General features: G+C 42.3%; 1 long non-coding RNA gene across 1 annotated transcript; it reads right to left on the reverse strand.

Moving 5' to 3' along the window:
- Positions 1-15,088: 15,088 nt before the first annotated feature.
- LOC124904170 (uncharacterized) lies at positions 15,089-16,965 on the reverse strand. Its single transcript, XR_007066057.1, has 2 exons — positions 16,801-16,965; positions 15,089-16,415 (listed from the first exon to the last, which is right to left on the reverse strand). It is a non-coding gene; the product is annotated as an uncharacterized LOC124904170 (long non-coding RNA).
- Between the last annotated feature and the right edge of the window lie 596 nt (positions 16,966-17,561).

The following is a 17,561-nucleotide window of genomic DNA, read 5'->3' on the forward strand; positions in this document are numbered from 1 at the left end:
AAGCTACTCTCTGAGAGTGTTAACCTTTGGGTTGACTTGCATTACATTTTTGGATAGTCCAACTTGGGACATCTTTGAAACCATAAGGCATCTTCCATTTGAAGGAATATTTCTAATAATCCTCATGTAACTTTCTGTTGATATGTAATAAAAATATTCTCACTGATTAATAACATAGGCAAAAGTGTGGCTGTTGCTCATTGTCAAGTCACCTTTGGTCTTATCTCTGTGAACTGACCAGTTCTTTCTCGCCACTTTTCCTGATACTGCCTCTCTCTATGATCATGGTTTCTCTTGCACCCAGGCTCTTTTTGCCTGTGTCCCACCCAGATGGCCACTTAATAGCATCAAAGATTTGCTTCCTCATCTTGCTTGGGCATCCAAAGGCAATGTGCCCTCAAAGGCATTCTAGAAACAATTTGCTACAATCCAACTTCTTCTGTAGTTGTTCAACAGTACACTAAAAACTGCCTTGTCATTTTTACAATGTGGGAAAAACTGGCAAGACAAAGAGAAAAACATTAGGGGTGCCATAAGGTTGTTTCTACCCAGAAAAGTACTAAGTTATCTTCATATCATATTCCCTGGGTAAGGCACTTCACCTCTGTGGAATTCTTCCCCCAAATCTATAACCTCAGGCTAATCATGAAAAACCCAAACTGAGGGACATTCTAAAAGAATATGTGACCATGGCCAGGCATGGTGGCTCATGCCTATAATCCCAGCACTTTTGGAGGCCAAGGCAGGTGGATCACTTGAGGTCAAGAGTTTGAGACCAGCCTGGACAACATGGAGAAATCCCGTCTCTACTAAAAATACAAAAATTAGCCAGGCATGGTGGTGCACACCTGTAATCCCAGCTACTGGGAAGGCTAAGGCAGGAGAATCGCTTGAACCCAGGAGGCAGAGGTTGCAGTGAGCCGAAATTGCACCACTGCACTCCAGCCTGAGCGACAGAGCAAGACTCTCCATCTCAAAAATAAATTAATTAATATAATATAATATGATATGTGACCAGCACTCTTCAAAAATGTCCAGGTCATGAAAGTCGAGGCAACACAGAGAAACTCATAAACTGGTGGAGAGTGAGGAAACATGCCAGTTAATGCTATGTGGTATCTTGGCCTGGATTCTGCAAAAGAAAAAAGAGGCTAGTGGACAAACTGTTTTAAACCAAATATAGCCCTCTTAGTCAATCCAGTTAAAGGTTTGTCAATTTTGTTAATGTTTTAGAACAACCAGTGTTAGGTTTCCTTAATTTTCTATTTCTGTTTTCTATTCTTTATTTCATCTCTGCTCTAATCTTTGTTATTTCCTTCCTCTTGCTAGTTTTGTGTTAGTTTGCTGTTCTTTTTCTAACTATTAAAGTCTAAAGTTAGGTTGTTGATTTATGATCTTTCTTTCTTTCTTTCTTTCTTTCTTTCTCTCTCTCTCTTTCTTTCCTTCTTTCTCTTTGTTTTTCTTTTCTCTTTCTTTTTCTTTCTCTCTCTCTCTTTTTTTTTTTTTTTTTTGGAGACAGGGACTCACTCTGCTGCCCAGGCTGGAGTGCAGTGTTACAATCACAGCTCACTACAACCATCCAGGCTCAGCCAGATCCTCCCACTTCAGCCTCCTGATAACTGGGACTACAGGTGTGCACCACCACACCCAGCTAATTTTTGTATTTTTTGTAGAAACAGGGCTTTGCCATGCCCAGGCTGGTCTCAAACTCCTGGACTTAAGGAATCCACCCATCATGGCCACCCAAGTGCTGGAATTACAGATGTGAGTCACAGCACATGGCCTGATTTGAGATCTTTCTTCTTTTTTAATGTTAAGTATTGTCAGCTATATATTACTCCCTTCGCACTGCTTTTGCTACATCACATAAGTTTTCATATTGTCATTAGGTATTTTCATTTATTGTGCAAATGAAAATAGTGTGTTCTTAATCCCATTTGTCTCTATCTCCTAATTTCTCTAGGCTTTCTTGTTTGACACATTGATTATTTAAGAGTGTGTTTTTTAATTTCCACAGATTTGTGCATTTTTCAGTTTTTATTCTGTTACTGATTTTTAACTTACCTTTGTGGTCAGATAAGGTACTTTGTATCATATTTATTTTTAAAAAATCTACTGAGAATTGATTTGCGGCCTACTCTATGGTCTATATTAGAGAATGCCCATGTACGCTTGAGAAGAATGTGTATTGTGTTGTTGTTGGGTTGGGTGTTCTGCCTATGTCTGTTAGATCTAGTTGGTATATCGTGTTGTTCAGGTCCTCTGCTTCTTTCCTTATTTTCTGTCTGATGGTTCTATCCATTATTGAGAGTGGGGTATTGAGGTCTCCGATTTTTTCTTTCTTTCTTTTTTTTTTTGAGAGGGAGTCTTGTTCTATAGCCCAGGCTGGAGTGCAGTGGCACCATCTGATCTCATCGGCTCACTGCAACCTCCACCTCCTGGGTTCAAGCGATTCTCATGCCTCAGCCTCTGAGTAACTGGGATTACAGACATGTACTACCACGCCCAGCTAATTTTTGTATTTTTAGTAGAGACAGTGGTTTCTGCCATGTTGGCCAGGCTGGTCTCAAACTCCTGGCCTCATGTGATCTGCCCATCTTGGCCTCCGAAAGTGCTGGGATTACAGGCATGAGCTACCAGGCCCAGCTGATGTCTCTGACTATTATTGTAGAGCTGTTTCTTTCTCCCTTCAATTCTATCAGTTTTTGCTTCATATATTTTGATGGTCTGTTGTTAAGTGCATAAATGTTTATAATTGTTTTATCTTCATGCTTTATTTTACCTTTTATTAATATGTAATCCCTTTCTTTGTCTTGTGTAAACTTTTTTGATTTAAAGTCTGTTTTGTGTGATGTTAGTATAGACACCCCACTCTCTTTTGTTTACTATTTGTATGTAATATCTTTTTCCATCCTTTTACTTTCAACCTATTTGTGTCTTTATCTAACATGATTTCTTGTAGACATCATATACTTGATTCATGTTTTTTATACATTATGCTGATTTCTGTATTTTGATTGGAGAGTTTAATCCGTTTACATTTAAAGTATCTACTGACAAAGAGGGATTTAATTGTGCCCTTTTGCTTTTGTTTTCTATATGCCTTATACCCTTTGTGTTCTTCATTTCTTGCATTACTGTCCTGTGTTTAGTTAAGATTTTTGTAGTGAAAAGTTTTAAATGCTTGTGTGTGTGTGTGTATCCTTTTGTACATATGTTATGGATATTTTCTCTGTGGTTATCATGAAAATTACATTTGACATCCTAAAATTATAACACTAATTTGAATTTATTTATTTATTTATTTATTGAGATGGAGTCTTGCTCTGCTGCCCAGGCTAGAGTGCAGTGGTGCAATCTCAGCTCACTACAACCTCTGCCTCCCGGGTTCAAGCGATTCTCTTGCCTCAGCCTCCCGAGTAGCTGGGATTACAGAAGTGTGCAACCACGGCTAACTTTTGTATTTTTAGTAGAGACGCAGTTTTGCCATGTTGGCCAGGCTAGTCTTGAACTCCTGACCTCAGGTGATCTACCTGCCTTGGCCTCCCTAAGTGCTGGGATTACAGGCATGAGCCACCGTGCCCAACCTAATTTGAATTTATACCACCTTAACTTCAAAGGCATACAAAAACTCTGCTCCTATGCAGTTCTGTGCCCATCCCTTTCAGTTACTGATGTCATAAAATTACATTTTTGTGCATTGTATGTCCAAAAACACAAGCTTCTTAGTGATTTTTTTAATGCTTAGTCTCTTAAATAATATAAACAAAATGTGGTGTTTTAAATCAAAGTTACAGTAATACTAGCTTTTATAATGGTATATGTATTTTTTTTTTTTTGTAGAGATGGGGTCTCACTATGTTACCCATGCTGGTGTCAAACTCTTGGGCTCAAGTGATCCACCTATATTGATCTCCCAAAGTGCTGGGATTACAGTTATGAGCCACCATGGCTGGCCTCTTAATTTCTTCTTCATTTTTGATGGACAGTTTTGCCAGGTAAAGGATTCTTGCTTGACAGTTTTTTCCTTTCAACATTTTGCATATATTGATCCACTGGCTTCTGGCCTCCACAGTTTCTGGTAAGAAATCAGGAGACAATCTTATTCAGAATCTCTTGTATGTAAACAGTTGCTTCTTCCTTGCTGTTTCCAAGATTTTCTCTTTGCCTTTGGCCTTTCACAGTTTGACTATAATATTTCCTGGTGGGACCTCTCTTGAGTTTATTCCACTTCAACTTTGTTGAGCAACTTGGATGTTTGTATTCATGTTTTTCACCCAGTTTGGGGCATTTCTAGCCCTTATTTCTGCAAAAAAAAAAAAAAAAAATTCCTTTTTCCCTTTCCCTCTTTTTCTTTTGAAACTCCTACAGTGCATATGTTGGTCTGAATCTTTCTTCTACCTACTCACATCTGCTTTTGGAATCCCTTTAGTCAAATTTACATTGTAGTTATTGTACTTTTCAGCTCCAGAATTTTTTGTTCCTTTTTATGTTTTTTCTTTATTTTTCAATAAATATTGAAAAATTTTTTCATTTTATTCATATATCATTTTCTTGACTTTGTCCACTTCTTCGTTTAGCTCTTTGAGCATCTTTAAGACAGTTGCTGAGGAATGTTTTCTGTTGACATTTTTTTCCTTAGATGGGCCATACTTTAATGTTTCTTTGTATGTCTTGTGATTTTGTTGTTGTATTTGAAAACTGGACTTTTGAATCTTATAATGTGGTAACTCTGGAAATAAAATTCTCTCCTTCCCCAGGGTTTGCTTTCTTTTTTGGCACATGGATAAAAAAGGCATGCTGTTTTATTTTATTTTATTTTCATGGTTGTATGGTGTCTCTAAGCTGGGGATAAGATTGAGAAATAAATTGAAGGTCTTCTCTGAGTCTATGCCTTTCCCTGGACATGCATGGTGACTTTCCCTATTCCCTTGTGTATGTAGTTACTTCGGATGTCCTAGTCCTTAAATGTCTGGCCCCTAAAAGGGGGAAAAGGGAAAGATGAAGGGGAGGAAAGCCAGTCATTGGCTTTTTAAGTCTCCTGGAAGTCACTTTTCCAGTGTGGATTGTAAAAATGACAATGGGGGTTACAACAATGGCAGCTCACTTCTGTGACTACACCTCTACCATCAGAAGCAGCAATCAGGGATCAAAACATAGATCCCAGATACATGGAAGACAAGGTTCTTATTGCCTACCCTGGCTCCTGCAAGCCAAGTCCAAGTTGCTCCAAAAGTGTGAGAGCTGAAATTGACTGAAATTAGCCACAGTCTTCCCCTGGAAGTTGCAACCCTTGTGATAGATTCCAGAGTTCCAACATAGTTATATTAGACAGATTCTGTCAGTACAATTGACTAGGTAGAGAGATTGATTCCTGATGTTTTCTACTCTGCCACCTTCCCTGATGTCATTATGATCTTATTATTTTATTTTGAGACAGGTTCTCACTCTATCACCCAGGCTGGAGTGCAATCACAGCTCACTGCAGCCACAATCTCCCGGGCTCAAGTGATCCTCCCACATCAGCCTCCTGAGTAGCTGAGACTACAGGCACCGTGCAACCAGGCCCAGCTAATTTTTTTGTTGTTGTTGTATTTGTGTAGAGACAGGGTTTTCACACGTTGCCCAGGCTGGTCTTGAACTCCTAAGCTCAACCGATTTACCCACCTCAGCCTCCCAAAGTGCCAGGACTATAGGCATGAGCCACTGCACCCAACCCTTATTACTTTGTATTTACTCCTTTCAATAGTTATTTCTCACTTGTCATTTATTTGGTTTTTATTGTTGTTGTTGTTGTTGATTTGTTTTTGAAACAAGATCTCACTCTGTTGCCTAGGCTGTGCAATGGTGCGGTCACAACTCACTGCAGCCTCAACCTCCTGGGCTCAAGCAATCCTCCCGCCTCAGTCTCCCAAGTAGCTGGGACTAGAGGCATGTGCTACCATGCCCAGCTAATTTTTAATTTGTTTTGTAGAGACAGGGTCTCATTATGTTGCCTAGGTTGGCCTTGAACTCCTGAGATCAAGCAGTCCCCTCACCTTCGCCTCCCAAAGTGCTGGGATTATAGGCATGAGCCACTGCATCCCACCCGCTTGTCATTTCTTATTTGTTTATGCTATATAATTGTTTTCTATAGCTTTGATATTTTTCAAAGAATTAATTTTTAATTGCTTGATTAGCATACTTTTTATTATGTAGACTTTTCTGTTTTCTGATCAATATTTCCTGTTTTCATATTTAGCAATTTCATCCTTCTGTATTTTTTCAATTTGCTTCACCATTCTTTTCTTTTTTGAGTTGTGTGTTTAATCCATTTATTTTAATCCACTTATCAATCATTTATTTTTGTTTTCTTCTAATAGGTCTTTTAAGCTCATTTGCATTTATTGATACAATGGATTTGTTTAGTCCCTGTTATATTATTTTGTATTATCTTTTCTGAATTTTCTATTTTTACTATACTCTGTTGTGTTTCCTTTGCTCATTTTCGTTCTTTAAAAAAAAAATCAGAGCAGCTGAACCACCGCAAATGGTACAAATAACAGATTTATTATAGGTACTAGGCCTTATATAACTTTAGGATTTAGTGAATAAGTCTTTGTAAGACTTGCCTCTGTGACTGATGCTGGTCTGAAGTCAGCAGGGCCAGCAGTAAGGAAGGGAAGATGGATGTGAAGTTAGGAAATCAGGGACGGGCAAATGGGAACTTCTGAGGACAAACTAGAATGGCATTAAATCTCATGTCTCAGGTCTCAGTGTTGTAGGTGACCTGCAGGAGAAACTGGTTCTCTTCCCCATTGGTAGCACACACACCTGGCCCAGGATTCAGAGAAGCTGAGAGAGATCGGACAGGAGCTGGGGTAGCAGCTGGTCTGGCTGTCCCACTGCAACAAAGTGAGCAGTATATCAGGAACAATGCAACTGTAATTGTATCTTGTGGCCAATCCTAACTCAGAATGATACAGGGAAGGACATTTGGAGAAACCGTTTAAATGGATTTAGCTAAACTGAAACATCACAAAGTCCGTGTGTGTGTGTGTGTGTGTGTGTGTGTGTGTGTGTGTGTGTAAACTGTAATTGTATCTTGTGGCCAATCCTAACTCAGAATGATACAGGGAAGGACACTTGGAGAAACCGTTTAAATGGATTTAGCTAAACTGAAACATCACAAAGTCCGTGTATGTGTGTAAAATTTAAGGTTTTAATTTTTTCTAATTGTTGTATTTTATATGTTCAGTTCCCACTTTCCTTTAGGCAATGGCTTAAACAAAAAATTTTTAAAAAAATATTTCCTGTAAGTTGTTACTTTTTTTTAGAGATGGGATCTCACTATGTTGCCCAGGCTGGTCTTGAACTCCTGGGCTCAAGCAATCCTCCCACCTTGGCCTCTCAAAGTGCTAGGATTACAGGCATGAACCACTAGGCCTGGCCTCCTTTAGACAATGTCTATTGTTATAAAACTAACTTGTGCTGGGCACAATGGCTTATGCTTGTAATCCCAGCACTTTGGGAGGCTGAGACAGGCAGATTGCTTGAGGTCAGGAGTTCAAGACCAGCCTGGCCAACATGGTGAAACCCCATCTCTACTAAAAATGCCAAAAATTAGCTGGGGGTGTGGTGGTGTGCGCCTGTAGTCCCAGCTACTAGGGAAGCTGAGGCAGGAGAATCGCTTGAACCCAGGAGGAAGAGGTTGCAGTGAGCTGAGATTGTGCCATTGCACTCCAGGCTGGATGACAGAGCAAGACTCCTCAAAAAAAGAAAAAAGAAAGAAAAAAAAAACTAACTTGTAACCTCTTCCTCAGTCTTCCCTCTTTTTCCCCCACCATCCAAAGTTTAGTTTTTCTTTGTACTTTCAAATAAACCTAGGCTTCCATTTTTTGATTTTTCAGCTTTATGTAGTATCTTGTGACATATAGCTGTTGCCTCTGAATCAGTTAATGAGTGTCTGGGCTTTCTGTCTTCTCCCACTTTTTTTTTGTTTGTTTTGTTTTGTTTTTTGTTTTTCATTTTTGTTTTTTTTTTGAAGTGGAGTCTCTCTCCGTCCCCCAGCCTGGAGTGCAGTGCTGCGATCTCGGCGCCCGCTGCATGCTCTGCCTCCCGGGTTCACGCCATTCTCCTGTCTCAGCCTCCCGAGTAGCTGAGACTATAGGTACCCGCCACCACGCCCGGCTGATTTTTTTTGTATTTTTAGTAGAGACGGGGTTTCACCGTGTTAGCCAGGATGGTCTCGATCTCCTGACCTCGTGATCCGCCCGCCTCGGCCTCCCAAAGTGCTGGGATTACAGGCAGGAGCCACCGCGCCCGGCTTCTCCCACTTTTTAAGTGATATTATTTCCATTTTGACAGAGTATATCAGATTTTCATATTAGTTACTATCCTTACCTCCACATTTGTTTTAGCCTCACATTTTCAGCTAAACACAGTCAAGGTTTGCCACAAATATTTTTGCCAAAGTTTTCCCAATTATCTTTTCTAGCCCATTCCCTCTTAGGTTCATCAAGAAGAGGCAATGGGAACAATATTCTCCAAGTTCTGTCATGTTTAAAATTGCTCTCCTACAGCCTTGATATTACAAGTTAACTTATCCACAGTGTCTTTCCTATGTTTTCTTGTATTGAACGTTTATGTCAAGAACATAATGTCAATATATGTATCATGGTCCATGGCTATTCCTGCACACTTTTGGTTTCTGTTTGTGTGGATTTTTTCCCCATCCCTTCATGTCTTGTTTTGTTTGTTTGTTTGTTTTTGTTCTTTTGAGACTGAGTTTCGCTCTTGTCACCCAAGCTGGAGTGCAATGGTGTGATCTCAGCTCACTTCAACCTCCGCCTCCCAGGTTCAAGCGATTCTCCTGCTTCAGCCTCCCGAGTAGTTGAGATTACAAGCATGCACCACCACGCCTGGCTAATTTTTGTATTTTTAGTAGAGATGGGATTTCACCACATTGGCCAGGCTGGTCTCGAACTCCTGACCTCAGGTGATCTGCCCATCTCGGCCTCTCAAAGTGCTCGGATTACAGGCATGAGCCACTGTGCCTGGCCTCTCATCCTTTCATGTCTATGTATGTCTTTTTTTTTTTTTTTTTTTTTTTTTGAGACAGAGTCTTGCTCTGTCACCCAGGCTAGAGTGCAGTGGCGTGATCTCTGCTCACTGCAACTTCTGCCTCCCGGGTTTAAGGGATTCTCCTGCCTCAGCCTCCCGAGTAGCTGGGATTATAGGCACCCGCCACTGTGCCCGGCTAATTTTTGTATTTTTAGTAGAGATGGGGTTTCACCATCTTGGCCAGGATGGTCTCAAACTCCTGACCTCAAGTGATCCACCCGCCTCAGCCTCCCAAAGTGCTGGGATTACAGGCATGAGCCACCACACCCAGCCCTATGTATGCCTTTACAGGTGAAGTGAGTTTTCTGCAGGTGGAACAGGTGGGTCTTGTTTGGGTTGTTTGTTTTTTTTTTAAATCCTTTCAGCCAGTTTATGTTTTTCAATTGAGGAATTTAAATCATTTACAATCAAGGTTGTTATTGATAGGTGAAAGTAAAATACTCCTGTCATTTTGTTAGTTGTTTTCTGATTGTTTTGTATATCTTATGTTCCTTTCTTCATCTTTTATTGTTTACCTTTATGATTTGGTGTTTTTTTATAGTGATAATGTTTGAGTCCTTTCTTTTTCTCATTTGCCTATCCTCTCCACCAGTGAGTTTTATACTTTCATGATAGTTATTGTCCTTTTTCTTTCAGATGTAGGACTTCCTTAAGCATTTCTTGTAGGGCCAGTGTAGTGATGATGAATTCCCTCAATATTTCTTTTTCATTTTTGAAGAATAGCTTTGTTGGATATAGTACGCTTGTCTGAAAATTCTTTTCTTTTTGCACTTGGAATATATCATCCCATTCTTTCCTGGCCTGTACAGTTTCTGCTGAGAAATCCACTGTTAGTCTGATGGAGATTTCCTTATATGTGACTTGATGCTTTTTGCTTGTTGTGTTTAGAATTCTCTGTCTTTTACTTTATTTTTTATTTTTTTGAGATGAGGTCATGCTGTGTTGCCCAGGCTTGAGTGCAGTGGCTACTTTACAGGCACAATCATAGCACACTACAGCCTCAAACCCCTGGCCTCAAGCCTCCCAAGTAGCTGCCTCCACTTCCCAAGTAGCTGGGATTACAGCTGTGTGCCCAACATCTTTGACTTTTGATAGTTTGATGACAATGTGCTTTGATGAAGACTATTTTGGGGTTGAATCTATTTGGGGATCTTTAAGCTTTCTGTATTTGGTTATCTATATCTCTTACAAGACTTTAAAAGTTTTCAGCTATTATTTTGTTAAATAGGTTTTCTATGCCTTTGCCCATCTCTTCTCCTTCTGAAATTGCCAAAGTTTGAATATTTGGTTGCCCTATGGTATCTCATATGTCATCCATGCTTTCTTCATTCTTTTTTCATTTATTTTTTTTCTGACTGGCTTATTTCAAATGACCTGACTTCAAGTTCTGAAATTCTTTCTTGTGTTTGATGTAGTTTATTGTTAAAGCTCTTGAATGAATTTTTTTATTGATTCATTGAACTGTTTGGTTCCAGGATTTCTGTTTGTTTTTTATATCTTTGTTGAATTTTATTTCTTTGTTGAATTTCTCATTCAGATCATGAATTGTTTTCCTGATTTCTTTCTATCATTTATCTGTGTTCTCTCGTATCTCACTGAGTTTCTTTAATATCATTATTTTGTATTCTTTTTCAGGCTATTTTATAGATTTCCTCTTCTTCGTGTTGCTACTGGAGAATTATTGTCTTCATTTGGAAGCATCATGTTTCCTTGCTTTTTCATGTTTCTTGTGTCCTTATATTGATATCTGCACGTCTGGTGTAACAGTTACTTATTCCAGTTTTACAGATTGGCTCTTGTAGGGGAAGGCTCTTTCCTAGAGCTGCTTCTACAGTTGGTTGGCAGGGTACTTTGGCTTTGACTCTGGGTGGATGCAGTAGTGTAGTCTCCATGTGATGTCTTCATCTATAATCAGCATCAGTGGTGGTTGTGGGTTCCTCGGTGGCTTAGGATGTGGTTATTAGTAGGGGCTGTGACAAGACTTTCCTGCGGAAGGGGATACCAGTTGAGCCAATTCTCAACTGCCAGTGGTGGCAGTGGTGGGCCAAGTGTGCCAGTCCTCAGGCCCTTGATGGTGTATGTAGGTGCTGGCAGTGGTGGGTATGAGCAGACCAGTGTTTAGGCTTCCAGGTGGCATGCTTAGGTACCAGCGGTGGCAGTAGTGAGCTGAGTGGGTACGCCCTTGCACCCCCAGGTGGTGTGCGTGGCATTGGTGGTGGTAGTAGCAGCAGTGGACAACCCTTAGGCCCTGGAGCAGGATGCATAGCAGTCAGTGCTGGTGGTGAGCTGGGAGGGCCAGTCCCTTGTCCCCTGAGAGGTACACATGTAATCTGGTGGTGGGCGGGCCTGTCCTTATGCCCCTAGATGGCATACACATGCACCAGTGGTGGAGGGCAGGGTGGCCAAATTATCCCCAGGCCCCTGGATAGTGTCAGTGGGTGGTGGTGGCAGCAGAGACAGATCCATCCTGAGATCCCTGGATGATGCACGTGGGTGCCAACCCCCCTCCTCCAGCATAAGGACAGTACACAGGTGGGCTGTTCCCCAGGCTTCCTGTAAAGGCACATGCGGTGCATGGTGGCCCTTCTTCGGAAAGGAGTGGGGTTGCTGTCAGTGGCAGTGGCCCTGGGGCAGGCAGCACTCAGGCTCTGGGAAGTGCATGCTTTGGCTCCCTCTGTCCCAGGTCAATCTTCCTGGTGCACTGCTTTGCCTGTTCCCTAGGGTGTAGAACACTACGTGGGCTAGAGTGCCGGCAATGCAGCAACACTGCTGGCGTCTCAATGCTACAGCCTTCTGAGGATGTGAGGGGATGTCACTAGGGTCCAGGGATGTGGAAGTGCAGGGGCTGTTGGGCCCCAGGGCAGGATGCAGTCTGGTGGGGGCTGAGCTCTCAAGCGGCCCTATGCTGCAGCTGCTTGGGTTTCGGGGGGGATGCAGGACTGAGCGTGAACTCCCTCTCTGAAACAATGTCATCACGTGTCTCCAGGCAGCTCCCTATTCTAGTCTCAGGGCTTGCAAGAGCCAAAGGGCCTTCCCATGGCTAGGCTTGCAGGAGTCTGCAGTGGGAACGTAGCTTGCTGGGGATCTCTCAACGTCTCCCTGCAATTGGGAGCTGTGAGCCGATCCTGGCAGGCCCAGCTGCTTTACTTCTCTAGCTTTCCGTGCCTCAGAGATTCCCTGCGACTTCCCTGATGAATTCCAGTGTTCTCTCTTAGAAGCTCTATTTGACATGTGGTTATCTACTTGCTGTGTTGGTCGTTCTTTGTGGAGGAGGCGGGTGCCTGGCACCTCTAGTCAGCTATCTCGAATCCCCTCTTCAGGGTTTTTATAATCTCTTGGAGTCTAGTAGCAAGCTAGTTCTCAAAGGAAGAGTGTACCGAAGAGGACATGCTTTCCAAATGATGCTCTATCCAATAGAGGAAAGCTGGGCTCCACTGGAAATTTCAAATGAATTGTCCTGTAGCCTTAATGTACTTATGTTAATATCAAACCAGAGATTCTCAAACCAAAGGCCCTAAAGCTCTCATAGTTTCATTGTTTTAACTAGTCAAATAAGAGATTACTTCAGGCTTCAATGTTTTCCCCCATTTTCTCCTATTGATTAAGAAGAAGAAGAAAAAAGAGGAAAGGAGTATTAGAGAGCCTGTGATACAATAAGAAATACACATCTGGTCTTTGTCCTCAGTTGCTGACACAGAGTTTCCAAAACTTGGAATTTTCTGAGTCATGGGGGTGATAGGGCATCTTTTGTTATTCATAAAAAGCCCTTTTCAACCATACTTGAGTTTATGCTGGTAAGGTGACTCTTGGTGGCCCCTGGTAGCTAGGGGGCTGGCGGTCAGAGGAACCAGTCTTGTGATTAGAAGGTTGGAACTTTCAGCCCCATCCCCAGACCTCTAGGGGGAGGAGCTGAGCTGGAGATTGAGTTAATCACCAGTGGCCAATGATTTAATCAATTATGCCTTTGTAATGAGGCCTCTGTAAAAATCCCGAAACAATGGGGTTCAGGACCATCTGGGTCAGTGAACGCATCCCTGTGCCAGGAGGATAGTGCATCTCAAACTCCACGGAGACAGAAGCTCCTGAGCTCAGCACCCTTCCAGACCTCGCCCTACGTGCCTCTTCGTTTGGCTGCTCACTGGTATCCTTTATAATATCCTTTATAATAAACCAATAAACCAAGTAAAGTGTTTCCCTGAGTTTTGTGGGCCATTTTAGCAAATTATCAAAAGTGAAGAGCGGGTCGTGGAAACCTCCAATTTATATTTGGTTGGTCAGAAGTACATGTGGTAACCTGGGACTTTCAACTGGTATTTGAAGTGGGAGCTGTGTTGTGGGACTGAGCCCTTAACAGGTTTGGCCTGCATTAACTCCAGGTAGTTTGTATCAGAATTAAATGGAATTGTTGGACACCTAGTTGGTGTCCAGAGAGTTGGAGAACTGGTTGTTGGTGGTGTGTGAAAAATCCACACACTGGTGTTTGAAGTGTTGTGAGTAAAAACAGTTCAGAGAGCCCTTTGGGAAATTTTCCTATAGTGGGCCCTGGATCCCATAAAACTGCCATATAACTATTTATCCTTCTCATGGGAAGCATATGGGATTAACAGACTATGACAGTGGTCTTTTATTTTTTCATAATATTTTAACTTTTATCTGGTAAAACACGTCCAAGACCAAAGAAAGCAACTTTTTTCCCCCCTCAAAACAAGCCAGATGCTTTAATGGCCTGCCTCCGGGGCCCACAGGCTCATCACAAATCCTTAAATAAGGCCCAGAGCTTGCCAGCCTCTGGCTCCGCCCAGCACCCCACAGGCAGGTGGCCCACAGCAGGCCTAGCTGGTGGGTTCTGGCTTAGGGAGTACCAGGATTCCCAGTCCAGATCTTCAGAGACCTTCCAGGACTGAGCTGCCACTCAGCCTGCCTGCACCAGTCCCTGAGTCCCAGCAGCTGCTTAGCTTCCAGAAAACATGTTTCCAGTCATAATGCCTGGGGTGGGAGAGGCAGTTCAGGGAAGCCACTGAGGACAGGCCTGGGGCGTCCTGAGGCAGGAGCAGCAGGCCCAGAACAAGGATGCCAGCCCCAGGCTGCATCATTGCACCAATAGCGGGGATTGGGAGTGGGCAGTGCAGGCTCCCTCAGAGAGCTCCAGGCTCGGGGATTGGGCCAACCCAATTCCAAATGCTTGTGGCAGGGGTGACTCTAGAAAGTGTGAGCCACATCTACCGCACAATGTGCCACTCTCAGATAGCCAGTCCTAAGACACATGAAGACTTTCTACAGGAAGGCTCTCAGCCTCCGATTCCGGGCCCTGTGCCGGGGAGGAAGCAGAGACCAAACCTTAATGGGATGTGTGTCAGGCAGCATCTCCACAACTACCCTGTGAGGTAGGTTGCGTTGTTCTATTGTACAGATGGGGGATGAGGGCTCAGCAGAGGTGAAGAGTCTTGCCCAGGTCATGCAGCAAGGAACACCAGCCAGGATTCAAGCCCAGGTCTGTCGGGTTCTGAAGCCCACGTGTTTTCTCTAGGGAAGATATAAGAAGCGGTCCTATCCAATAAAGACCCTCAGGTTAAAAGCTCAGGGGCTCTCAGCCCACCCTGGATGGGCCCCCAGGGTCAAAGCTGAAACCCCTCCAGGGGAGTAGCCACAGCCCCAGCATCTACTTCTGGCCCCGGGCAGCCAGGCAGGCAGAAGTGGGGCTTAAGAGTGATTGCTACCCACAAAGCACCAGCAGCCAGTGCCACAGGTGATGGCTCTGGCTGCCCAGAAGCTGTGGGTGGGGCAAGGGCTGGTCTTGTCCTGAGGCCCTGTGGCCCCAGGTGGGCAGAGCCAGGCCATTGAGCCAGGCAGTCTCTAGCAGGCTGCAGAAGCGGGACTTCAGTGTGGGGCCAGATGGGTTGACACTGGCAGCAGGGGTAGGTGAGGCACCACAGGACTCTTCCCCAGCGGCTGCTTTTGTTCAAAGAAAGCAACTTACAGAAAGTAATTTATATTAAAATTTTTATTTGATATAACACTTGACCTTTTTAGCTCAAAGCTTCACTTGGGGAGACAGGAATGAGGGAATTAATACCTTTTTATTATGGAAAATGTCAAACACACACAAAGCAGAGAGAATGGTATAAGAAGTGTCCATGCACCTATCACTCCATTTCAACAGTGAGCAACATTCTGTTGCTCTTAGTTATACTCTATCCTCCCCACCACTTTTTGTTCATTTACTAGAGTATTTTAAAGCAATCAAGGATAAAATATCCTTTTACTTGTAAATTCTTTAGGAAAAATCTCTAACATAGACAAATTGAATAACCATAACACAAACACAATTTTATGACCAGATCCAGAAAACTTAACAATAATTCCTTATGAACACAAAATATCTGAGACAGGTCTCAGTCAATTTAAGAAGTTTACTTTGCCAAAGTTAAGGATGCACACCTGTGACCCAGCCTCAGGAGGTCCTGACAACATGCGCCCAAGGTGGTGGGAGCATAGCTTGCTTTTACACATTTTAGGGAGACGTGAGATATCAATCCATATGGGTAAGTTGTACATTGGTTCAGTCTGGAAAGGCAGGGACAATTCAAAACGGGGAGGGGATTTCCGTTTCCAGGTCATAGGTAGGTGAGAGACAAACTGGTTGCATTCTTTTGAGTTTCTGTTAGCATTTCCAAAGGAGACAGTCAGATGTGCATTTATCTCAGTGTGCAGAGGGATGACCCTGAATAGAATAGGAGGCAGGTTTGCCCTAAGCAGTTCCCAGCTTGACCTTTCCCTGTAGCATAGTGATTTGAGGGTCCCAAGATTTATTTTCCCTTCATATTTCCTCCTTTTCTTTTTGAAATCTTTCAGAGAGGGCATTTTAGAAGAAAATGAGTCTCCGGTCTCAGGTTTCCTGTGATTTCTCATTGTTAGGATGGTTTATTCCTAGACAGGTAGGTCTCATGTTATTAGGAAAACTCATTTTTAGCAGGAGTTTCATATCCCAGAAAGAGAAAATAGAGGGAGGAAGGGAGAAAACAACAAACAAAAAAGAACAATCCTGGAAAACTGATAAAGGCCATATTACTCTGAAGTCCGTACATCAGTAGGCAGGTATGAAAGTGGCTTATGTATGTAAATATGTTGCTGTTATTTGCTTTGGAAATTTGTTGTCTAGCTTCAGTTTGCAGGTCTTTAAGAAAGCACAGCTTAGTTTTCAGTGATTTCAAATTAGGAAAAGTGGGGCAGGGGAGGAGAAAAGAGAGAAGGCAAACAATTGAAAATGTTGTTTTGGAGACTGGTAGCCGGGAAAAAATAGAATTCAGTTCAAACTGTGGAAAATAATAAAAACGGAAAAACATTAGGCAAGATTAGAATCTAACAACAGGTGTACTATAGTTTTTGAAACATTTTTCTCTCTCCAGTTTTCAATTTTTACTAAAGACCAATCATGGTAGGACCCATTTGCTTGACTATTCTTGGCCTGATTATAAAACAGTGCAGCAAGAATGATTATTTTTCACATAGGCTTTTAAAATCAGCTTTGATGGAACTTTGTTCCATAGAAGGAATCTCAGATAAGACTTTTTTAAAGCTGAGCCCAGCCACGGCTTTATACCATCAAATATCTATGAGTTGGGTAACTTCCTCGCCTCCTGAGGTCTCAGAATAACTTGGGGCTTCTGGGCCTGTCAGAAAGTGACATTCTTTACTCACCACAGGTCAGGAATGCTGTACAGGGGCTGTGTAGACAAGGTATGAGGCCAGTTTTCTCAAGGTGCTTTTATTGGCTCTATAAGTCAAGTTTAATTCTTTAAAGGAAAGCATATCATTCCAGTCAAAGCCTTGATAAAATAAACAGTTCCTCCAATTATGTCCTGTTACAAAACAAAACAAAACAAAACAGATTCTTATTGCACTTATGCAAATAACTATATTGTCATAAGTTAAGAATACTCACAGTTTCCAAATTCTGAAGAAATCAGATAGAGATAAACAAATATGTTCCAAATTTTGTTTACAGGAGTGTGTTTAAGAAAATTTTTCTTGACTCTGAAAAACAAAACGAAGGATCAGCAACATTTTAAGCAAAAAGTCAAAAAGGATTACTTCAGTCTTCTGCTAGCTCAGTCCATGCAGTTAACTCCTGTTCTGTTTGATGTTCATGAATATTTCAGCTCTCCATGAGAGTCCTGAAAGTTTTTTTCCTTTGTTCTAATGTCACAATTTCCAAAGTTATTAGAAACCTGCATTCAAGAGCACCTATCAAAGTCCTATTGCTAATTACAAACCACCTTTTGAAGAGGATCAAAACAAGACAACAATTGTCTGTGGATGACAAAAAGTCATAAGACAGCCATTATTAAAACCACAATTGGGCCAGGAGCAGTGGCTCACACCTGTAATCCCAGCACTTTGGGAGGCCAAGGCAGGTGGATCACGAGGTCAAGAGATCCAGACCATCCTGGCCAACATGG

This window comes from Homo sapiens, chromosome 1, assembly GCF_000001405.40.
Source record: "Homo sapiens chromosome 1, GRCh38.p14 Primary Assembly".
NCBI lineage: Eukaryota > Metazoa > Chordata > Mammalia > Primates > Hominidae > Homo > Homo sapiens.